Source organism: Homo sapiens, chromosome 16 (assembly GCF_000001405.40).
Source record: "Homo sapiens chromosome 16, GRCh38.p14 Primary Assembly".
Taxonomy (NCBI): Eukaryota; Metazoa; Chordata; class Mammalia; order Primates; family Hominidae; genus Homo; species Homo sapiens.
Genome location: NC_000016.10, coordinates 2,520,222 through 2,539,123, shown reverse-complemented (window position 1 = coordinate 2,539,123; position 18,902 = coordinate 2,520,222). Strand labels below are relative to the sequence as shown.

Here is an 18,902-nt window from a genome sequence, read left to right as displayed (position 1 = left end):
TGCGCGTCGAGAGGGAGACTCCATCAAAAAAAAAAAAAAAAAAAAGCCGCATCCTGGAAGACACGGGATCAATTAAATTTCTTGGGTTTTCCTTCATTTAAAATATTTGCCTTTTAAATCAAATGTTAAAGCCATGTAGACGTTCTTCCATCACCCACTGCACATCGCATACAAGGCATAAATTTTTAAACCGTCGTCCCCAGACTGTAGAACTTAGCATATGGAAAACATAAAAACACGAGGGATACTTTTAGCGATAGAGAGAAAATATAGAAACACCAGCGACACTTTTAGCAAAACATTTCACCCAACAAGTGGTTTGTTTTGGTCCTTCCCCTAAAATCCCTCCTACCTGTCAAGCTCACTTTCCCCTCGGTGATCCTGCACATTCGGCCTCCCAGGGGCTTCCCACAACGCTGAGCACAGCCACGGGCAGCAAAAGCACCCAAATGCCCCTTGGCCGGGCCGTGAAAGGCGAGTTTTCCCGACCACTGTCATCAAGAATCTGGAAAAGGGGGCCCAGGAGCATCAGGTGCTTTCAGCAAGAACTTGCACCTTCTGCTTCTCTCGCAGGCGGAGGCGCCAAGGACCCCGTTCCAGGTGGAAGCCCAGGGCGGTTCCTCTACAGACAGAACCGAAAGGTAACCCTGGAGGCTCGGCTCCAGGCTGCGCCAAGCCGAAAACAAACTTTCCAGGCACTTCCACCCCGCTGGGCCGGGTGACACCTCCCGGCCTCCCCCGCCCTCCGCGCGTCTGTCAGCGCCCCCGGCCAGGCCGCCGCCCGCCGCAACCCAGGCCCGGTCTCCCCGCCGCAGCCAAGCAGCGCCCTCGGCCGGCGCCCGCCATCCCCGGCCCGGCCGCCCGGCTGCAGGTAAGGAGGCACCCGGCCCTCGGGACCCCGGGCCGCCCCGCCTCGCCGGACCCGGGCGGCCGCCGGACCCGGCAGGGTAACAAACCGGCGCGTCCAGTCCGCCGCCGCGCGCTCACCAGCTGGCTGGTGGTCCTGGCCATGGGCCCCGCGTCGGCGCGGGCGCCTCCCCCGCAGCGCTGCGCGGCTCGGCGCCTCCTCAGCGTCCTCCTCCCCGAAGCGGAGCCCCAGCAATGGCCGCCCTCATCCTGCGCCCGCCCCGTCGCCCGCCGCCCCCCGCCCCCGGCGCCGCCCCGCCCCCGCGCGGCGCCGGGCAGGACTTCCGTCGCGCCGCAGCCGACGCCCGCGCCCATTGGCCGCGCCCATCGTCGCTCCGCCGCGGCCTTAGTGGGCTCCGCCTCCGCTCCAGCTGCATTTCCGGGTTGGGGCCTGGCGGGCGGGAGAGGCCCGACCCCGCCTGGGGAGGGGGACCTCGCGCGAACCAATCCCAGGGCCTGCGGGGCGGGGCTGGGCGGGGCTGGGCGGGGCAGGGGGCGAGCTGTCATTCCGGCATCCCAGACCGGGAAACTGAGGCTCAGAGGGGACCAGGCTCCGGCCAAGGTCACGCCCGAGGTAGCGGCGGAGCTGTGCTCGAACCCGGAACTCGGATTCCGGAGCCGGCTCTGCGTAAACTCAGAGGCGCAACTTTGCTAGTTTCACAACTAACAAGCGTTCACGGAAGGAAATCTGGGCTATCAAGTCACATTCACGGCCGGGCACGGTGGCTCACTTTGGGAGGCGGAGGTCGAGGCGGGCGGATCACTTGAGGTGAGGAGTTCGAGGCCAGCCTGCCAACATGGAGAAACCCTGTCTCTACTAAAAATATACAATTAGCCGGGCGCCTTGTAGTTGTTAATGTCGATAATGTTTTTTTGTGTTTTTTTGTTTTGGGTTTTTGGTTTTTTTGAGATGGAAATTTGCTCTGTTGCCCAGGCTGGAGTGCAGTGGCTCGATCTCTGCTCACTGCAACCTCCGCCTCCCGGGTTGAAGCGATTCTCCTGCCTCAGCCTCCCGAGTAGCTGGGACTACAGGCATGTGCCACCACACACAGGCAAATGTTTGTATTTTTTTGTAGAGACAGGGTTTCACCATGTTGGCCAGGGGCTGGTCTCCAACTCCAGTGATCTGTCTGTCTCCGCCTCCCAAAGTGCTGGGATTACAGGTGTGAGTCACCACGCCCGGCCAACTTTATTTTTTTTTGAGACAGAGTCTCTGTCGCCCAGGCTGGAGTGCAGTGGCGCGATCTCGGCTCACTGCAAGCTCCGCCTCCCGGGTTCACTCCATTCTCCTGCCTCAGCCTCTCCGAGTAGCTGGGACTACAGGCGCCCGCCACCACGCCCAGCTAATTTTTTTGTATTTTTAGTAGAGACAGGGTTTCACCGTGGTCTCAATCTCCTGACCTCGTGATCCGCCCGCCTCTGCCTCCCAAAGTGCTGGGATTACAAGCGTGAGCCACCGCGCCCGGCCAACTTTATTTTTTTTTATACTGACACATGCCCATGCAGTTCTTGAGTAATGCACAGAAAAATCGGAAGCAGTGAAGGACAAACAGCTTGAGGAACTAGTACACAGTGAACTCTAGAACACGGAGCCCAGGGTGGAGGAGCCTCGGGGCAGGGGCCAAGGGCCAAGGGTCAAGGGTCACAAGAAGAAAGCATCTGAGCAGGCACCAGGGGACAGGGGAGAGAGGGGCAGCTGAAGGTCAAAGAAGAAAGGACAGTTCTCAGTTGTCCTGGGGGCCCCAGTGGCAGCCAGAATGCTTGGCCAAGCCCAAGGCAAGCTAGACCAGGAAACCCCTCGCCCTCTGGCGACACAGACAAATCTCCCCATGGGTCAGGTCCAGTGGCTCATCCCAGGACACCGCACAGACAGCGGATGTCTCACCTGGCCCAGCACGGTTCTCCCGACCCGGGCTGGAGGAAAGAGACTGACCCCTCTCTTTATCTCACCCTTTCCTGCCGAGAACCTCTGTCTATGGCCAATGGATGACCTCAGGCCAAGAATGCAATAACTTGGCCTGACGTTGTGAGGTCACGGTCCATCCAGGGAGGGGCAAGAAAATGACCACAACCATCCCGGGAGGGGCTGGAAAGCTGCCTCATGTGCGTGGCACTGTGCTGCGTCTACGTGTTCCTCACTCGCCTCTACAATGCTCATGGCACGAGGGAGGAAACGGGGGTGCAGAGGCTAAGGAACGTGCCCAAAGCCCTACAGCTGGTGTATTAGTTATATACTGCTGTGTAACAAATTGCCTCAAAACTTTGATGTGTAAAACAACAAAGAAACTCATGGCTCCTGCGGGTCTGGAATCCAGGAGAGGCCAGGCTGGGTGGTCTGGCTCAGGCTCTCTTGTGAAGTTGCCATCAAGATGCTGCCAGGACTGAGTCATCTAAAGGCTAGAGCAGGGCCGAAAGATTCACTTCCTAAAAGGTTCATTCCCACGTTCCCACAGCTGTGGGCTGGAGGCCTCCGTCCCTCACCAGTGCGGCCTCTTCCCAGGCGTGTGTGTTTTCAAGCCCCAGCAGCTGGCTTTCCCCAGAGCGAGTGGCCCAAGAAAAAGAGAACACACACAAGATAGAAGCCGCTGCGTCTTTAATGACCTAACCTCAGAAGTGACACACCATCACTTCCAACACATCTGCTGGTCACACACAACCCTGGTAGAAAGTGAACGGGCGTGTTTTGGGAGGCTGAGGCAGGAGCACTGCTTGAGGCTAGGTGTTTGAGAGCAGCCTGGGCAACAAAGTGAGACCCTGTCTCTAACAAAAAAAAAACTTTTTAAATAAAATCTTTTAAAAAGTGAAACAAGGTTACACAAGGGTATGAAATCCAGAAGGGGCCATTCCTGGGGGCCCCCCTTCAAGCTAGTTGAGGACAGAGCCAGGATTCCAATCTCAGGGAGAGACACAGAGAAGCTAGAAGCACAGGCCCAGCCTGGACCCTGCAGGTGTGCACACCAGAAGGCCCTGAGTTACAAAGCCAGGGAAGGAAGGGCTCTCCCAGCAAGGATCCCAACCTGGATTGCATCTCTAGACTGACCCTGAAGCTACTCAGTAGCGTCTGGAAAGGAGACTAAAGGGGAAAATAGGGGGCAGGGAGATCAGGTGAGAGAAAAGGGGGCTCTCAAAAGACAAGAGCACTGGCTAGGCGCTGTGGCTCACACCTGTAAGCCCAGCACTTTGGGAGAGTGAGGTGGGTGGATCACTTGAGGTCAGGAGTTGGAGACCAGCCTGGCCAACATGGTGAAACCCCGTCTCTACTAAAAATACAAAAATTAGCCAGGCATGGTGATGGACGCCTGTAATTCCAGCTACTCAGGAAGCTAAGGCAGAAGAATCTCTTGAACTCGGGAGGCAGAGGTTGCAGTGAACCAAGATCGCACCACTGCACTCCAGCCTGGGTGACAGAGGGAGACTCTGTCTTAAAAAAAAAAAAAAAAAAAAGGTCTCCTGGCTGCCTCTGGCCCACAAGGCCCTGGTCACATGTCTGAGGCTCCCAATATACATTCGCTGGGCTGCGGATACATGGATGGATGGAAGATACAAAGTCATTCAGTGGTTTCCAAGCCACCAGGTAAATATCCTCCCATATAAGCCATACCAAGGGAGAATCAGACTTGACTGGGAGTCAGGAAACAGAAAGTTGCATGAGATCTTAGGCAAGTAATTTCCCCTCCTTAAACCTCAATTATCCCCGCTGTAAAATGGGCTGGCTCAACAACTGCTAAAAGTCCCAAAAGTGGAAAATATCCAGTGTTGGTAGGAATGCAGAGAAAGGGGCACGTTCATGTACCGATGATGGGAACATCATATTTCCTTTAAACCTGAGCACTGGGAATTCCTGTCCTAGGCCCTTCTCTCTAAAAGGCAGAATAATGTCCTCTCCAAAGATGTTCTCATCTTAATCTCCCAACCTGTGAATATGTTATTATATAGAGAGACGAATTAATCAGCTGACCTTATAGCTGGATAATTATGGCTAGGCATGGTCGTTCAAGCCTGTAATCCCAGCACTTTGGGAGGCAGAAGCAGGAGGATGATTTGAGCCCAGCGGTTCAAGACCAGCCTGGGCAACACAGTGAGATCCCATCTCCGTAAAAAACTAACAAAAACTGGGCGCAGACCAGGCGCGGTGGCTCACGCCTGTAATCCCAGCCCTTCGGGAGGCCGAGGAAGGTGGATCACGAGGCCAGGAGTTTGAGACCAGCCTGGCCAATGTGGTGAAATCCCATTTATACTAAAAATACAAAAATTAGCCAGGCACAGTGACAAAAATTTAGCCCAGGACTTCAAGATCAGCCTGGGCAACATAGTGAGATCCCGTCTCTTTAAAAAACAAACAAAAACTGGGCGCAGACAAGGCGCAGTGGCTCACGCCTGTAATCCCAGCACTTCGGGAGGCCGAGGTGGGTGGATTACTTGAGGCCAGGAATTACAGACCAGCCTGGCCAACACGATGAAACCCCGTTTATACGAAAACTAAAAAAATTAGCCAGGAACTGGAGGCTGAGGCAGGAGGATCACTTGAACCTGAGAGGTTCAGTGAGTTTGCAGTCAGCTGAGGTAGCATCACTGCACTCCAGCCTGGACGACAGAGTGAGACTCTGTCTCAAAAAAAACCAAACAAACAAAAAAAACTGGGCGTGGTGGCTCACACCAGTAATCCCAGCACTTTGGGAAGCCGAGGCACGCACATCACGTGAGGTCAGGAGTTCGAGACTAGCCTGGCTAACATGGTAAAACCCTGTCTCTACTAAAAAAAAAAAAAAAAAAAAAAAAAAAAAAAATCTGGGCGTGTTGGTGCATGCCTGTAATCCCAGCTACTGGGAAGGCTGAGGCAGGAGAATCACTTGAACCCAGGAGGCTGAGGTTGCAGTGAGCCAGGATCGCGCCGGGCTGGGCAACAGAATGAGACTCCGTGTTAAAAAAAAAAAAAAAAAAAGGCTGGGCACAGTGGCTCACGCCTGTAATCCCAGCACTTTCAGAGGCCTAGGCGGGCGAATCAATTGAGGTCAGGAATTCAAGACCAGCCTGGCCAACATAGTGAAACCCTGTCTCTACCAAAAATACAAAAAAATTAGTCAGGTGTGGTGGCGTGCGCCTGTAATCCCAGCTACTAAGGGGGCTGAGGCGGAGAATCGCTTGAACCCGGGAGGCGGAAGCTGCAGTGAGCAGAGATCGCACCACTGCACTCCAGCCTGCGCAACACAGCCAGGCTCCGTCACACACACACAAACCGAACTGCAAAGTAATAGCAAAAGTGTAAACCCATTTAGAAAAAACGTGTGTGACATAAATGTGATAAAAGGAACAGGGCCAGTCTGGGAGGGAGTACCCGGACGCTCCGGAGCTGTCCCAGACTCCAGGGGCGGAAAAGCCGGGCTGAAGAGGTGCCCTTCCTCCACGCTTCTGGTGCCAATCTCCCCTGCTGCGCCCACCCTGGGTCCCTAGCCTGGGCTCCAAACCAACTCCGAGCTAGGGAAGCTCCGAGCCAGGGTGCTTCTAGAGTGTCCGGCCCACCCCTCCGCTTCATTTCCCAAGACAGTGAGGGCGGGGCTAGAGGCCAGGTGCGGAGGTGCGGGACAGGAGCCAAGCTGGGTCGTAGTGGGATCCACCTGTGCGTGATACGTAACAGAAGGGAGAGGCGAGGCGCGGGGAGGTCCGCAGGGATGTGGGAGACGCGACGGGGAGGACTGGGACGAAACAAACTAGGTCCGCAAGGGTATAAGGGGAGCAGCTCGGAGGGTTGGGGCGAGGCGGGGTCTACAGGGGTGTGGGGGGCTTGGCAGGGAGCGCTGGGGCGACGCGGAGCTCCGCAGCGTTGGCGGGGAGCGTTGTGGGGAGACGGGGTCTGCAGGAATGTGAGGGCGCGGTGGGGAGCGTAGCGGGGTATGCAAGGTTGTGAGGGTTGTGGATGGGAGGGCTGGGGCGAGGCGGGGTCCGCAGAGATGTGGGGGGCGCAGAGATGGGGGGGGTCCGCGGGCCCGCCGGGGACCGCGCAGCCTCGGGCTCTGTGCCCGGGGCCGCGCGGGTTAACTAGAGAAGGTGACGCGCGCCCCTGTTGCTCAGCCGCGGCGCGTGCCTTCCCTGCGGCGATCCTAATTGGCCCGACAGAAGCCCGCCCCCAGAAGCCCCTCCCACAGTAGGCAAGGCCCCGCGTGCCGCAACGCTCCCAGAGTTGCGCGTCAGCCTGGACTCAGCGCCTGCGCTACGAGGCTGGGCGGGGCGCGGCCGGATCGGTCGAGAGCGTCCTGGCTGATGACGGTCTCCCGTGCCCACGCCCCAAACGCAGTCTCTGGCCTGGATGTGCTCGGAGCCCACGAGGTGCAGAGGCTCGGACGGCGAAAGGGACCTGGCTGAGATCTGGGTCTTAAACCGCGGGCTCGGCCCAGCATCCCGGCAGCGTGCGCCCACAAGTGACACCCGGCCGGGCGCGGTCTGCGGGATCGCAGGCGCCGGGTCTCATCTCCAGTTCACACACGGGACGAAACGGGCCACCCCTACCAGCTCTGAGAGCATGCACCTCCAACTCCATCCCTCCCCACATGCCCGACCCCCCAACCCGTAACTCAGGCAGACACCTGGGCGTCCCCCTTCAGCGAATGCCCACACCGCGGGCAGGCCTGCCCCTCACCCCGCAGTCAGGGCGCCCTGCATCCTTCTTTGTAAAACCCATAGCTGTAGAGGGAGCGGAATGGTGGGGCAGGGCTGGGAGCCCAGCGGGAGTGAGTGGTGGGGAATGATGGTGGCCAAGGTCACACAAAGCAGTGAATTCACTTCATGTCACAGAACTGCTCAGGTTACGATAGTTACTTTTGTTATGTATTTTACCACAATTTTTAAAAAGCAAACCAAAACCAACCAAGAGTGCTTCCCCCACACCTCAAAATCATCCTGCAGCAGCTCCCTGGCCCAGCTCTCTCTCACCCTGACCCTGGGCCCCTCTCCCACCACCCAGGGCTAGCCCTGTGGACCAACCATCTCTGCCAGCCCCTCCCCGACCCTCCAGCCAGGGAGGTGGGGCGCTGGCCGGTGAATGGGGCAGGCCAGGCCCAAAGGCTGGCCCAGGGCTCACCAGCTCTGGACTGGGCGTCCCGTCTGAGGTGGGGATGACCAACATGCCAGCTCTGGGTTTTAGCTGAGGATGGGCACATCAAGCACTGACAGCCAGCAAGCTGGGCACAGGCGATGCTCAACCTCTAACACATCGGCTGAGAACCTCACCTGCCTCTCCCTGCCTGGGAGCCCTGGCAAGACAGCTCCTCTCCCAGGCCCAGCACAGGCAGGCGCTGGACAGCCACTTCCTAAGGGGTGCGCGGCCGTCAAGGCAGAGGTGGGTATCCCTGCACCTCACACCTCTCAGGAGGTCAGGATCCACATCCGTCGCCTGCTTTCCTGGGCTGCCCCTGGGGCTTGTGGGCTGAGATCAACCCCTTGTGCCCTGCCCCAGGCCCTCCCTCAGGCGAGGCCCTGCCCAGGCAGGTGGTTCTTCCCTGGCTGTTCCCTTCCAACAGGTGGGGCCCAGACCATCCTATCTCTTTGGACCTGGAGACATTTCCTTAACTGGGCTTTGCAGCAGAGGGAAGAGAACAGTGGCAGAGCCAGGCGCGTACCTCCTGTGCCCAGGACAGCACCTGTAAGCAAGGGGGAAGGGAGCCACCCACCCCAGAACTCAAATGGAGAGAAAGTCAAGACAATCACCCCTGACGTGGGGCTGCACCAATCCCTGACGTCTGACCCCACTGTGGCTGTCCTCAGAGCCAAGAGGGCTCCAGAAGCCCACCCGCCTCGAAGCTGTTCAGGGAGCCTCACGGCCCGTGTTTGCCACATGGGTGTGTGCCAGGGCCAAGGGGACACAGAAGATGGCAGGATGACACTAATGGGGTGAGCAGGGCACACTGGTGCCTCCCATACTGCCCTCCAGCACCAGGCAGGGTCACCACAGCCGGCAAGCACTGGGCCTGGGGATGTGTGAAGAGATAGGGTTATTGAGAAGAGAAAACAGAACGCTGGTCATCCGTGGCACTCAGGGCTAGGCAGTCCAGGGAGCAGAAAACAGGGGTCCCGGGCCCAGTCTCCCTCCTGGAGGTCAGAGCGGAGCCCCTGGCACTGTGCCCTGGCCCAGAACCAGGCTGTGGGCTCCACGCTGCACACCCCAACTCAGGAGCAGAAAGCAAACCCCTGACTGTCCACACTCCCTGTGACTGGTCCCCTTCCTGCCGGCTCTTCACCCCCAGCCCATGGTGGCTTCACCCCATGGCACCAGCCACTGACTGCCTGCCCCTCCCTCCCATAGTGACACTTTCCTGGGGTCTGCAGGTCTCCGGTCCACTTCATGCAGACAGGCCCTGTCCCCCACTGGGGCCCAAGGCCCAGGCTAAACTACAGCCCAGCCATCCCACCCCAGGCCGTGAATGCCTTCTCCAGGAGGGCAACCAAGGATGGTGCCACATGTGAGCACAAGCAAAACCCGGAGCCAAGGCGAGTCCTGCTGGGTGCACGTTTATCCCAGCCACCGCCTCCAGGGCGGCCGCACAGGCCCTGGGCATCAATCCAGCAGGGCTCCCGACTCACTCCCTGGAGACCAGCTCCCCAACCACCCGGCCCTGATGGCATCCCGCTGCGGCCAGGTGTCCTCTCAGCCGAGGTCCTTGTCACTGCCTAGCTGCGTCCGCCTGCCACACCAGCTCACCCGAGATGTAGGTGGCCTGGACGTGAAGGGAGTCGTCGAGCACCACGAAGTCTGGGACAGAGCCGGGCAATGAGTAGGGGGCAGGAGTGGGGCCGCCCACCTACCCCAGAGCTGCTCCCCAACAACCCGACGCTGGTGGGGAAACTGAGGCCCAGGGACACGACTAGTGCAAGACACCCTGACCCATCACAGATGGACAGAGGTACTGGACAATGCTCCCTGCAACCCCTTGCCTGGCCTTGTCTGCAACACCAGAAAGCCCGGCCTGATGGCAACACGGGGCTACAACTGAGGCTGGCAGCCGGCAGCCCACCTGAGAGGAGGGAGCTAGGGAGGACCCACCCTCCCTGGCCCTGTCCAGGCCGCCCCAGGAACAACAGAGTCTACAGGCAGGGCCAGGCTGCCCGGTGACCCTGCGACAGGCCCTCACCTGCGTCAGCACCAAAGTCCAGGGTCCCCTTACTCTTCTCCAGCCCCAGCAACTGGGCGGGGTGCAGGGATGCAGCCTCCAGGGCCGACTCCATGCTGCAGCCTGCTTGGGGGACACAGCTAGGTGACAGTCCCCAAGCCCACATGGCTTTGCCAACAGCCCCCAACCACACCAGCACTCCCTGTCTCAGGGACTCTGCAGCAGGCTAACAAGGACCCTGCTGGTCTGCCTGTCACCCTGGGCCTGAGTCACCAAGTACCCAATGCCCAGGAGCTCCTGTGGGCAGAGCTTGGGCTACAGTCCGGGCACCCGGTCCAGCCCCTTGGGGACCCACCACTCACAGACCACCTAAACCCGCACCCGTGCTGCTCACTGACCTGTGGCCTGCAGGAAGTGCCGGACACAGACGTCCATTGGGGCTATGCTGCCACTCAGCGTCTTGGTGCCTTGAGAGCAGAGAGGGCAGGCTCTGGGGGGGTCGTGGGCCACCTGGCATGCGGGCTGGGACCTGGGACCCAGTGGGTCAGGGCGCTCACCTGCCACGTAGGCCGTCAGACCGTCCACTTCCACTTCCTGCTGTCCCAGCGTGTGCCGGCCGTTGCCCAGGCCCAAGGCAGGGATGGCATCGGTGACCAGCACCAGCCCTGGGGGAGAAGAGGCTCAGAACCTGCTAGCCCAGTCATCCTACCTGTCCTGGCCACCTGCCGCAGCTTACCCTGGGGATGGGCACGGTGGGCGATCCGCAGGGCGGCGGGGTTGGTGTGCGTGCCATCTGCAATCATCCCATAGAAGATGCAGCGGCCTGCGGGCAGCCGGTCGCTGGTCAGGAGCCCCACGATGCCTGGGTCGCGGTGGTGGAACTGGGCAGGGGCGAGGGAAGGGATGGCTGAGCGACAGCAGGGGCTGCTGGGACCCCAGCCCCGCCCCTGGGGCCCCATAGCACTCACAGGCAGCATGGCGTTGAAGAGGTGGGTGATGAAGGTGGCTCCGCTCCACACAGCATCCTCTGCCGCCCGCAGGTCAGCCACTGAGTGCCCTGCGGGACCTGGATTCAGACTTTGCACCTGGCCCAGGTCCCCCAAGCAGGCCCACCCCGAGCCGGCCCCTCACCTAGGGACACGCAGATGCCACGGGCCGTCAGCGCCCGGATCACTTCGTGGCTACGGCCCAACTCTGGGGCCAGCGTCACGATGCGGACATTGTCCAGGGGCCCGTAGGTGGCCAGCAAGTCCTGGAAGGCATCGGCCTCGAAGGAGCGGAGGTGGGCCTCGGGGTGCGCGCCCCGCTTCTCCCGGCTGATGAAGGGGCCCTCCAGGTGCAGCCCTGGGAGGAGGGAGCAAGTGGCTCCAGCAGGTCCCTGCCCCACCCAGCCCTTATCACCTGCCCTCCCCACCAGCTGGGCATCTGGAGGGGTGGGGGCTGCCAACAGGTCCCGCAGGAGCCTCCCAGGGTGGGGGCGGGGAGGAGGTCAGCCACTCACCGAGGACCCCTGCCCCATGGGGACCACCACTCTTCACAGGGATCTGAGGAACAACCTGGGGGGAACCAGCTGTTAAAGCCCTGTCCCCCACAGCCCATTCCCAGAGGCCACAGCCTAGCCAAGGCCAGAGATCTCAGGTCAGAGTTCAGAGCCCAGCACCCAGCCCAGCCCCGGCCGCCTGTCCCCTCACAGGGGTCAGGGAAAGCACAGCCGGCAGAATTGAAGGACCCATGGCAGGAGCAGGAAGAAATGATAGGTGTGTGGGATGCCAGCGGTCCCTGGCCATGTGGGCAGGCTTGTGGGCACTGAGGGTGGCCCTGGGCACAGCAGCCCAGGGAGCAGGGCTGGGAGGCAGGAGGCTCCTGGGAGCAGCAGGGACCCTGGGGCAGAGCTCAGTGTGGGCATGGCCAGGGCTCAGCACTGTGTGTGGTCCACACCATGGCCGGAGCTGGACGCCATCAGGAAGACCGAGTGTGTCAGGGAACGGGGGGACACGGGCTCACACCACACATCTCAGAGGCTAACAGGTGGGCAGGCAGTCCAGTGCACACTCCCTCTCTCCAACACAGGCATGGGCTGGGGGAGCCTTCCCAGAGAGAAGAGCTTCAGGTGAGGATGGTGGCTGGATTGTACCCTCCCCTGAACTCCCCAACCCACACAACAGTAACACTTTTTTTGTTTTTTTGGAATGGAGTTTCCCTCTTGTCGCCCAGGCTGGAGTGCAATGGCAAGATCTCGGCTCACTGCAACCTCTGCCTCCTGAGTTCAAGCGATTCTCCTGCCTCAGCCTCCCGAGTAGCTGGGATTACAGGCGTGCACGACCATGCTCGGCTAATTTTGTATTTTTAGTAGAGGCGGGGTTTCACCATGTAGGTCAGGCCAGTTTCAAACTCCTGACCAAACACCCACCTTAGTCTCCCAAAGTGCTGGGATTACAGGCGTGAGCCACCATGCCTGGCCAACGGTAAGACTTTTAAGAGCCCTAAACCTGGGGGCGGGGTTGGGGGGGTAGCAGATGATAGAAAGAAGACAGCCAGACTTTGGAGGCTTGGCAAGAGGGACACTGGGCAGGTCTGGGGGAGTGCACGCAGTGGGGGAAGTGACCCCCACAGGCTCAGGATGGTGCCTTGAGAAGTAGGGTGACGTGGGGACCAACGGAAGAGTGCCTGCCCTGAGTGTGCCGGTCGGGCCCCCGGGGAAGTAGAGCAGATTGGCAAGGGTAGGTGTGGGCACAGCAGGAACTTGCGAAATGTGTGTTCTCAAGGTGCTCAGCAGGGTGCCAGCCAGGCCCAGCCCCTCTGAGCACTGCTAGACTCTTCTCAGGGAACCCAGCCAGCCCAAGAGAAAGGAGCCAGGGACCCCAACCTACGAGTACCCCCATAATGCCCCTCCTGCAGGCTGGGTGCCCCCAGCTGGCCTGCTGACACCTCTTCTGAAAGAAAGCACACCACCAAGGTCAGCAGGCAGCCTGGGCAAGCCTCGAAAAGGAGCCCGAACAAAAGAGGACAGGGCCAGGCAGGGAAGCAGAGACCACGAGGAGAGATGGACAGGGAAAAGGGCCATCACGGACACCCTCCAGCCAATAAGAGGTCTTCTGTCCCTGAAACAAGAATAGGATGGCAGAAAAAGGAACACTGGGCTGGGCACAGTAGCTCACACCTGTAATCCCAGCACTTTGGGAGGCCAAGGCGAGCAGATCACCTGAGGTCAGGAGTTTGAGACCAGCCTTACCAACATGGAGAAACCCCATCTCTACTAAAAATACAAAAATTGGCCAGGCGCGGTGGCTCACGCCAGTAATCCCAGCACCTGGGGAGGCCAAGGCAGGCGGATCACGAGGTCAGGAGATCGAGACCATCCTGGCTAATGTGGTGAAACCGCATCTCTACTAAAAATACAAAAAATTAGCCGTGCGTGGTGGCGAGCACCTGTAGTCCCAGCTACCTGGGAGGCTGAGGTAGGAGAATGGCGTGAACCTGGGAGGCGGAGCTTGCAGTGAGCCGAGATCGCGCCACTGCACTCCAGCCTGGGTGACAGAGTGAGACTCCATCTCAAAAAAATAAATAAATAAAAATAAATAAATTAGCCAGGCATAGTGGCACACGCCTGTAGTCCCAGCTACTCAGGAGGCTGAGGTAGGAGAATTGCTTGAACCCAGGAGGCAGAGGTTGCAGTAAGCCGAGATTGTGCCATTGCGCTCCAGCCCGGGCAACAAGAGCGAAACTCCATCTCAAAAAAAAAAAAAAAAAGCAACATTTGGCTGGGCACAGTGACTCACACATGTAATCCCAGCACTTTGGAAGGCCAAGGCAGTTGGATCACCTGAGGTCAGGAGTTCGAGACCAGCCTTGCCAACATGGAGCAAGCCCATCTCTACTAAAAATTACAAAAATTAGCAGGGCATGGCGGCAGGTGCTTGTAATCCCAGCTACTCCGGAGGCTGAAGCAGGAGAATCACTTAAACTCAGGAGGCAGAGGTTGCAGTGAGCAGAGATCACACCATTGCACTCCAGCCTGGGTGACAGAGGGAGACTCCATCTCGAAAAATAAATAAATAAGTGGCCAGAGAGAAGAGTGAAACAATCAGGAGGAAGCCTGGAATTGGGTTAGAGCCAAGAAACAAAGCAAAGAACACTCACGGCAAAGCAAGCAGAAATGGCAGCTGAGATGTCACTGGGCCACACATCCCTTCACACCACTCCGATGACTGACCTACACAGGTATTCTCATCACAATTATGGGGAACTACCAGGAAAGATGAGAGGAGAGAAAGGGGCTAAGAGGACTCACGGAGCCACGAGAGCACTGATGTTCAGCTCTCCTGGTGGAAGGCAATGGATTCTGCCCTGAGCTGAAAGACTGAGAAGCAGCCAGCACAGTTTTTAGAGCTACGGGCGCAAATTCCAAGAGTCCACTGAGTTGAAAGTGATTGTCCCTAGGGTGGATGCTGGTTGGGGCAAAGGGCCGCTGTTTTTCCTCACAAGCCCTATGGATACACAGGCTCACTAAAGATTAAAACAGGAAAAAAACAAACAAAAAAAGACAATGGCTGAGTTTTTCCAGAATGGAGTTTTAGAAGGGAGCAAGAGGGCGCTACATAGAGAGAGCACAGTAAAAGATCAACTGAGGGGAGGGGAGTGAGGCACACTCCAGGCAGGTAAACAGCCGGAAAGGTCAAAGTGTAGAGGGTGTGCGGGGCCAGAGGCAGGGGCCTGGCTGCCCCCTGGAGGTGCCTCACCTTGGCTCAGGAGGTAACAGACTTAAAGCAAAGAACAAAGTGAGCTCACCTGTCTCCAAGTACCGTAGCAAAGGACAGGCGGAAACCCCCCAGAAAAGAGAAGGTGGTCTTAATGGACCAGAACAGGACAACAAAAGACCGAAGAAGCTTCTGGCAAAGTGGCCATCCAATTCCACCCAGGGTGAGTGGGCCCTGGAAGAGGTGGCGTGCACGGCACAGGGGAGACCCGAGTGAAAAGGGGCCTCCAGTTTCTAAGATGATCCAGGCAGGAGGCTTCCCAATTCCCACCCTCAATAGTTGGCTCTCTGCCTTCATCCTGTGTGTGCGCCAAGGGTTAAGACACCTGCACTGCAGTGCATGCTGGGAAGAAAACAAAGTCCTACTTGTCAGAGACTCTTCCTAAGGAAGAAGAGCCATAGTTCCTCCCACGCCTGTGCTGGCCAGAGATGCGCAGGCAGTGGGGGGCACAGTGGGGACAGGTAGGCAAGGCTTAGCAGAGGAGGCCTGGGGAGCAGGCCAGGGCCTTCTAGGCCAAGAGTTTGGGGGCAGGAGTGGGGAATGTGGCTGGGGACAGAGAAGAGGCTGGACAGGTAGGAAAGGAATGCTGCCGGTAGGGGTGGGGCAGAGGTGATGTGCTGAATCCTGAATCTTGGACAGGTGGCTCTGACAGGCCCCAGAGCCCCAGAGAGCAGCTGTGAGAACCAGGTGCCAGTTGGCAGCAGGTTTTTGACATTTGACTCTGTGTGGGGAGGGCTGTGGGAAATTTCCAAAAAGACATCCATGGCTAATACTGAGTGGTGAACACTCAGCATCTCACGCACGATGCTGAGCACCCAACGCCCCTAAGCCATGCACGCTGCCTTCATCCTCACTTCAGGTTTGAGGAAACGGAGGCTCAGAAAGGCAGAAGGTTGTCCTGAGTCTTCCAGCCGATACATGACATCAGGAGGCCAATGCCAAATCCAGGAAGCCTGAGCCCAGAACCCACACACCACCCCCATTGTTCCCAGCTCTGGCTCTGCCCACACACCAAGAGAGGGACCCCTTGGGCATATAACGCAAGTGATGATCCTGAAATGAATCCTGTGCTGGAGGGGAAAACGGCGGGGGCTCTGGACAGAACTAGAACACAGACGGCTCAATTAAAGTACTGTTAACAGGGTTCATTTTCTAAACTCACTAACTCTTGTGGCTCCATAAGAAAATATTCATTATCTTAAGAAATAGTTAAGTATTGGTTGGGCACCATGGCTCACGCCTGTAATCCTAGCACTTTGGGAGGCTGAGATGGGCAGATCGTGAGGTCAGGATTTCAAGATCAGCCTGGCCAGTATGGTGAAACCCCGTCTCTACTAAAAATACAAAAATTAGCCGGGCATGGTGGCGGGCGCCTGTAGTCCCAGCTACTCGGGCGACTGAGGCAGGAGAATCGCTTGAACCCAGGAGGCGGAGGTTGTAGTGAGCCGAGATCGCACCACTGCACTCCAGCCTGGTCAACAAAGGGAGACTATGTCTCAAAAAAAAAAAAAAAAAGTTAAGTACTAAGGAATAAACAGGCATGATGGGCCAGGCACAGTGGCTCTCGCCTATAATCCCAGCACTATGGGAGGCCGAGGCAGTAGATCTCCTGAGCCTAGGAGTTTGAGACCAGCCTGATCAACATAATGAGATCCCTGTCTCTACAAAAAACTTTTTTTTTTTGAGATGGAGTCTCGATCTGTTGCCCAGGCTGGAGTGCAGTGGCGCAATCTCGGCTCACTGCAACCTCTGCCTCCTGGGTTCAAGCGGTTCTCCTGCCTCAGCCTCCCAAGTAGCTGGGACTACAGGTAGGCGCAACCACTCCCAGCTAATTTTTTGTATTTTTAGTAGAGACGGGGTTTCACTGTGTTAGCCAAGATGGTCTCGATCTCCTGACTTCGTGGTCCGCCTGCCTCGGCCTCCCAAAGGGATTACAGGCGTGAGCCACCGCGCCCGGCCGAAAAAGCTTTTTAAATTAGTCGGGTGTGGTGGCACAAGCCCGTAGTGCCAGCTACTCTGGGGGACTAAGACAGGAGGATCTCTTGAGCCCAGGAGTTCAGAACCAGCCTGGGCAACACAGTGAGACTTTCTCTACAAAAAATGTTAAAATTGGCTGGGCATGGTGGCACACACCTGTAGTCCTACCTACTCAAGAGGCTGAAGCAAGAGGATCGCTTGAGCAGAGAAGAATGAGGCTGCAATGGGCTATGACCACACCACTCTACTCCAACCTGGGCCACAGAGAGAAACCCTGTCTCTTAAAAATAACAAAAACTGGCCGGGCGCGGTGGCTCACGCCTGTAATCCCAGCACTTTGGGAGGCCAAGGCGGGCGGATCACGAGGTCAGGAGATCGAGACCATCCTGGCTAACACGGTGAAACCCCGTCTCTACGAAAAATACAAAAAATTAGCCGGGCGAGGTGGCGGGCACCTGTAGTCCCAGCTACTTGGGAGGCTGAAGCAGGAGAATGGCGTGAACCCTGGGGGGCGGAGCCTGCAGTGAGCCAAGATTGTGCCACTGCACTCCAGCCTGGGCGACAGAGCGAGACTCCGTCTCAAAAAAAAAAAAAAAAAAAACTAAACAAAAAAAAAAAGCATGTTGGATACAACCTACTCTCAAATAGTTCAGTAAAAAACAGTAGCACAGGTACAGCCAAGAGGAGCCTGAATAGTAGTAACATACAGCAAAAAGTTAACCCTGTAGAACCTAAGTAAAAATTAAAATAAAAAAAGACCAAGGACAACCAAATTTCTTCCGGGCAGGAAAGAAAATGGAAGCGTGGGGCAAGCAGTACAGGAGCAGGGGGAGTCTCTTCTGGAAGGCGTGTTCCACTGAGTCACACATCAGACAGGTTAGGGAGGAAGAGCCTGACCAGGGACTATCGCTGTGCCAATCACAGAATCCCCTGCGGCCTTGGTTAAGGGGATGGTTTCTGAAGCCTGGAGGCAGCCAGAGTGCAGTGCAGGGGGTGGGGACGGCCTATGGCTCAGACGGTGCTGAGCCAGCAGTGTGGAGACAGCTGCGGAGGACAGAGGGTCTAGGGAGGCCAGGCAGAGCGACAACTGATAAAGAAGCACAGGGGCGGGACCCAGGCCCAGATCCGGTCATCAAAGGAGGCCAGACTCAGGACCATGGAATACGTGCTGGGGGTGGGGGGTGGGGCGTGAGTTTGAAAATGAGGGCGCTGGTTGCTCCGGGAGCCCCCTCCACCTCAGCCAGGGAGCCTCACCTCACCTTGTGATAAACCTCCGGTGGGGAAGTGACCAGGGTGGGGCAGAAGGAGGTGACGCCGTGCGACAGGATCCTCCGGGCCACGAGGGCAACCCCCGAACCCACGTCCTCCGTGGCTTGAGAGAAGTCAACACCAAATCCACCTGCAGCCACAGAAAAGGAAGTGTCGCATGGAGCTCAGAGCTCCTCCCCTGGGTTCCCCTGCCGGCCCCGGGCCGCACCGTTGATCTGCACGTCGATGAATCCGGGAGCCAAGATGCGGCCCCCGCAGTCCCGCCGCTCGTCGGCCACGCGCCGCTCCTCAAAGAACAGCTTCTCTGGGTCCAAGATGCGGCCTCCGCGCACCCACAGATCCTCCCTGGGGACGCAGTGGGTGGGCGCTCGCATCGCGGGCCTGACCTCGGCCCCGCACCCTGCACCCCGCCCGGTCCCCGGCCCCGCACCCTGCACCCCGCCCGGTCCCCGGCCCCGCACCCTGCACCCCGCCCTGTCCCCGGCCCCGCACCCTGCACCCCGCCCGGTCCCCGGCCCCGCACCCTGCACCCCGCCCGGTCCCCAGCCCCGCAGTCCCCGGCCCGCGCCCACCTGAGCAGTTTCCCTCCGCGCAGGATCCGGCAGTTAGTGAACTGGAGCACGCGGGCCCCCGCCGCGCCCTGCTCGCCGCGCATCGTGAGCCGTGTCGGGAGCGAGCGGCTCCGGAGCCCCGCGGCGGCCAAATCCCGCGCCCAGTGACGAACCCCAGCCGAGAGCTGAGACCGCGCCCACGTGACCTTCAGCTGACTGAAGCGGCGCGCCACGTGACCGCCGCGCCCACGTGATCGAGCCAGCCCACGTGACCGGCAGCGCCCGGCGCCCGCCCGCCCGCCCGCCCGCCCCCGCCCCCAACAAGCTGAGCAGACACAGGC

The 18,902-nt window shown here is 58.6% G+C and overlaps 3 protein-coding genes and 1 non-coding gene across 14 annotated transcripts in view, besides 9 other annotated features; 2 read left to right on the top strand and 2 right to left on the bottom strand.

Annotated features, from left to right (window-relative positions):
- The window catches only part of PDPK1 (3-phosphoinositide dependent protein kinase 1), a 65,168-nt gene extending 64,065 nt beyond the window's left edge, over positions 1-1,103 (bottom strand). For 3 of the 5 annotated variants that reach the window (NM_002613.5, NM_001261816.2, NM_031268.6), the window contains exon 1: positions 988-1,103. In NM_002613.5, coding sequence (NP_002604.1) covers positions 988-1,011 — 24 coding nt within the window. In that variant the 5' untranslated portion in view covers positions 1,012-1,103. Of the gene's footprint in view, positions 1-352; positions 506-987 lie in introns of all 5 variants that reach the window. The other 2 variants (XM_047434200.1, XM_024450296.2) reach the window with 1 other exon arrangement.
- Positions 8-708: an enhancer, noted in NCBI's record as "H3K27ac-H3K4me1 hESC enhancer chr16:2588417-2589117 (GRCh37/hg19 assembly coordinates)". NCBI's record gives its function as "activates a minimal SCP1, AML or CMV promoter by ChIP-STARR-seq in naive H9 embryonic stem cells {active_cell/tissue: H9 hESC(naive)}" and the evidence as "EXISTENCE:reporter gene assay evidence [ECO:0000049][PMID:30033119]".
- Positions 827-956: a silencer, noted in NCBI's record as "silent region_7062". NCBI's record gives its function as "represses an Ori minimal core promoter by ATAC-STARR-seq in GM12878 lymphoblastoid cells {active_cell/tissue: GM12878}" and the evidence as "EXISTENCE:reporter gene assay evidence [ECO:0000049][PMID:35858748]".
- Positions 967-1,176: a silencer, noted in NCBI's record as "silent region_7061". NCBI's record gives its function as "represses an Ori minimal core promoter by ATAC-STARR-seq in GM12878 lymphoblastoid cells {active_cell/tissue: GM12878}" and the evidence as "EXISTENCE:reporter gene assay evidence [ECO:0000049][PMID:35858748]".
- Positions 1,287-1,596: a silencer, noted in NCBI's record as "silent region_7060". NCBI's record gives its function as "represses an Ori minimal core promoter by ATAC-STARR-seq in GM12878 lymphoblastoid cells {active_cell/tissue: GM12878}" and the evidence as "EXISTENCE:reporter gene assay evidence [ECO:0000049][PMID:35858748]".
- Positions 5,784-6,485: an enhancer, noted in NCBI's record as "H3K27ac-H3K4me1 hESC enhancer chr16:2582640-2583341 (GRCh37/hg19 assembly coordinates)". NCBI's record gives its function as "activates a minimal SCP1, AML or CMV promoter by ChIP-STARR-seq in primed H9 embryonic stem cells {active_cell/tissue: H9 hESC(primed)}" and the evidence as "EXISTENCE:reporter gene assay evidence [ECO:0000049][PMID:30033119]".
- Positions 6,434-6,483: an enhancer, noted in NCBI's record as "active region_10273". NCBI's record gives its function as "activates an Ori minimal core promoter by ATAC-STARR-seq in GM12878 lymphoblastoid cells {active_cell/tissue: GM12878}" and the evidence as "EXISTENCE:reporter gene assay evidence [ECO:0000049][PMID:35858748]".
- Positions 7,119-7,202, top strand: MIR3178 (microRNA 3178). The gene has a single exon (NR_036139.1). It is a non-coding gene; the product is annotated as a microRNA 3178 (primary transcript).
- Positions 7,264-7,313: an enhancer, noted in NCBI's record as "active region_10272". NCBI's record gives its function as "activates an Ori minimal core promoter by ATAC-STARR-seq in GM12878 lymphoblastoid cells {active_cell/tissue: GM12878}" and the evidence as "EXISTENCE:reporter gene assay evidence [ECO:0000049][PMID:35858748]".
- AMDHD2 (amidohydrolase domain containing 2) lies at positions 7,707-18,753 on the bottom strand. Of its 7 annotated transcripts, none has more exons than NM_001330449.2 (11): positions 18,583-18,753; positions 18,219-18,355; positions 18,001-18,140; positions 11,509-11,563; positions 11,139-11,351; positions 10,976-11,064; positions 10,744-10,888; positions 10,565-10,672; positions 10,406-10,474; positions 10,029-10,130; positions 7,707-9,649 (listed from the first exon to the last, which is right to left on the bottom strand). In NM_001330449.2, exons 1-11 carry the CDS (start codon positions 18,663-18,665, stop codon positions 9,561-9,563), a joined length of 1,230 nt encoding a protein of 409 aa, NP_001317378.1. In that variant the 5' UTR covers positions 18,666-18,753; the 3' UTR covers positions 7,707-9,560. The 7 variants fall into 7 exon arrangements, with proteins under 7 accessions (NP_001317378.1, NP_057028.2, NP_001397872.1 ...); NM_001145815.2 differs by having other exon boundaries at positions 8,170-8,867; positions 9,599-9,649; positions 10,406-10,672; NM_015944.4 differs by having other exon boundaries at positions 10,406-10,672.
- CEMP1 (cementum protein 1) lies at positions 7,716-9,089 on the top strand. Its single transcript, NM_001048212.3, has one exon. The coding sequence runs from the start codon at positions 8,051-8,053 to the stop codon at positions 8,792-8,794; it is 744 nt and encodes a 247-aa protein (NP_001041677.1). The 5' UTR covers positions 7,716-8,050; the 3' UTR covers positions 8,795-9,089.
- Positions 18,538-18,607: a silencer, noted in NCBI's record as "silent region_7059". NCBI's record gives its function as "represses an Ori minimal core promoter by ATAC-STARR-seq in GM12878 lymphoblastoid cells {active_cell/tissue: GM12878}" and the evidence as "EXISTENCE:reporter gene assay evidence [ECO:0000049][PMID:35858748]".
- Positions 18,778-18,887: a silencer, noted in NCBI's record as "silent region_7058". NCBI's record gives its function as "represses an Ori minimal core promoter by ATAC-STARR-seq in GM12878 lymphoblastoid cells {active_cell/tissue: GM12878}" and the evidence as "EXISTENCE:reporter gene assay evidence [ECO:0000049][PMID:35858748]".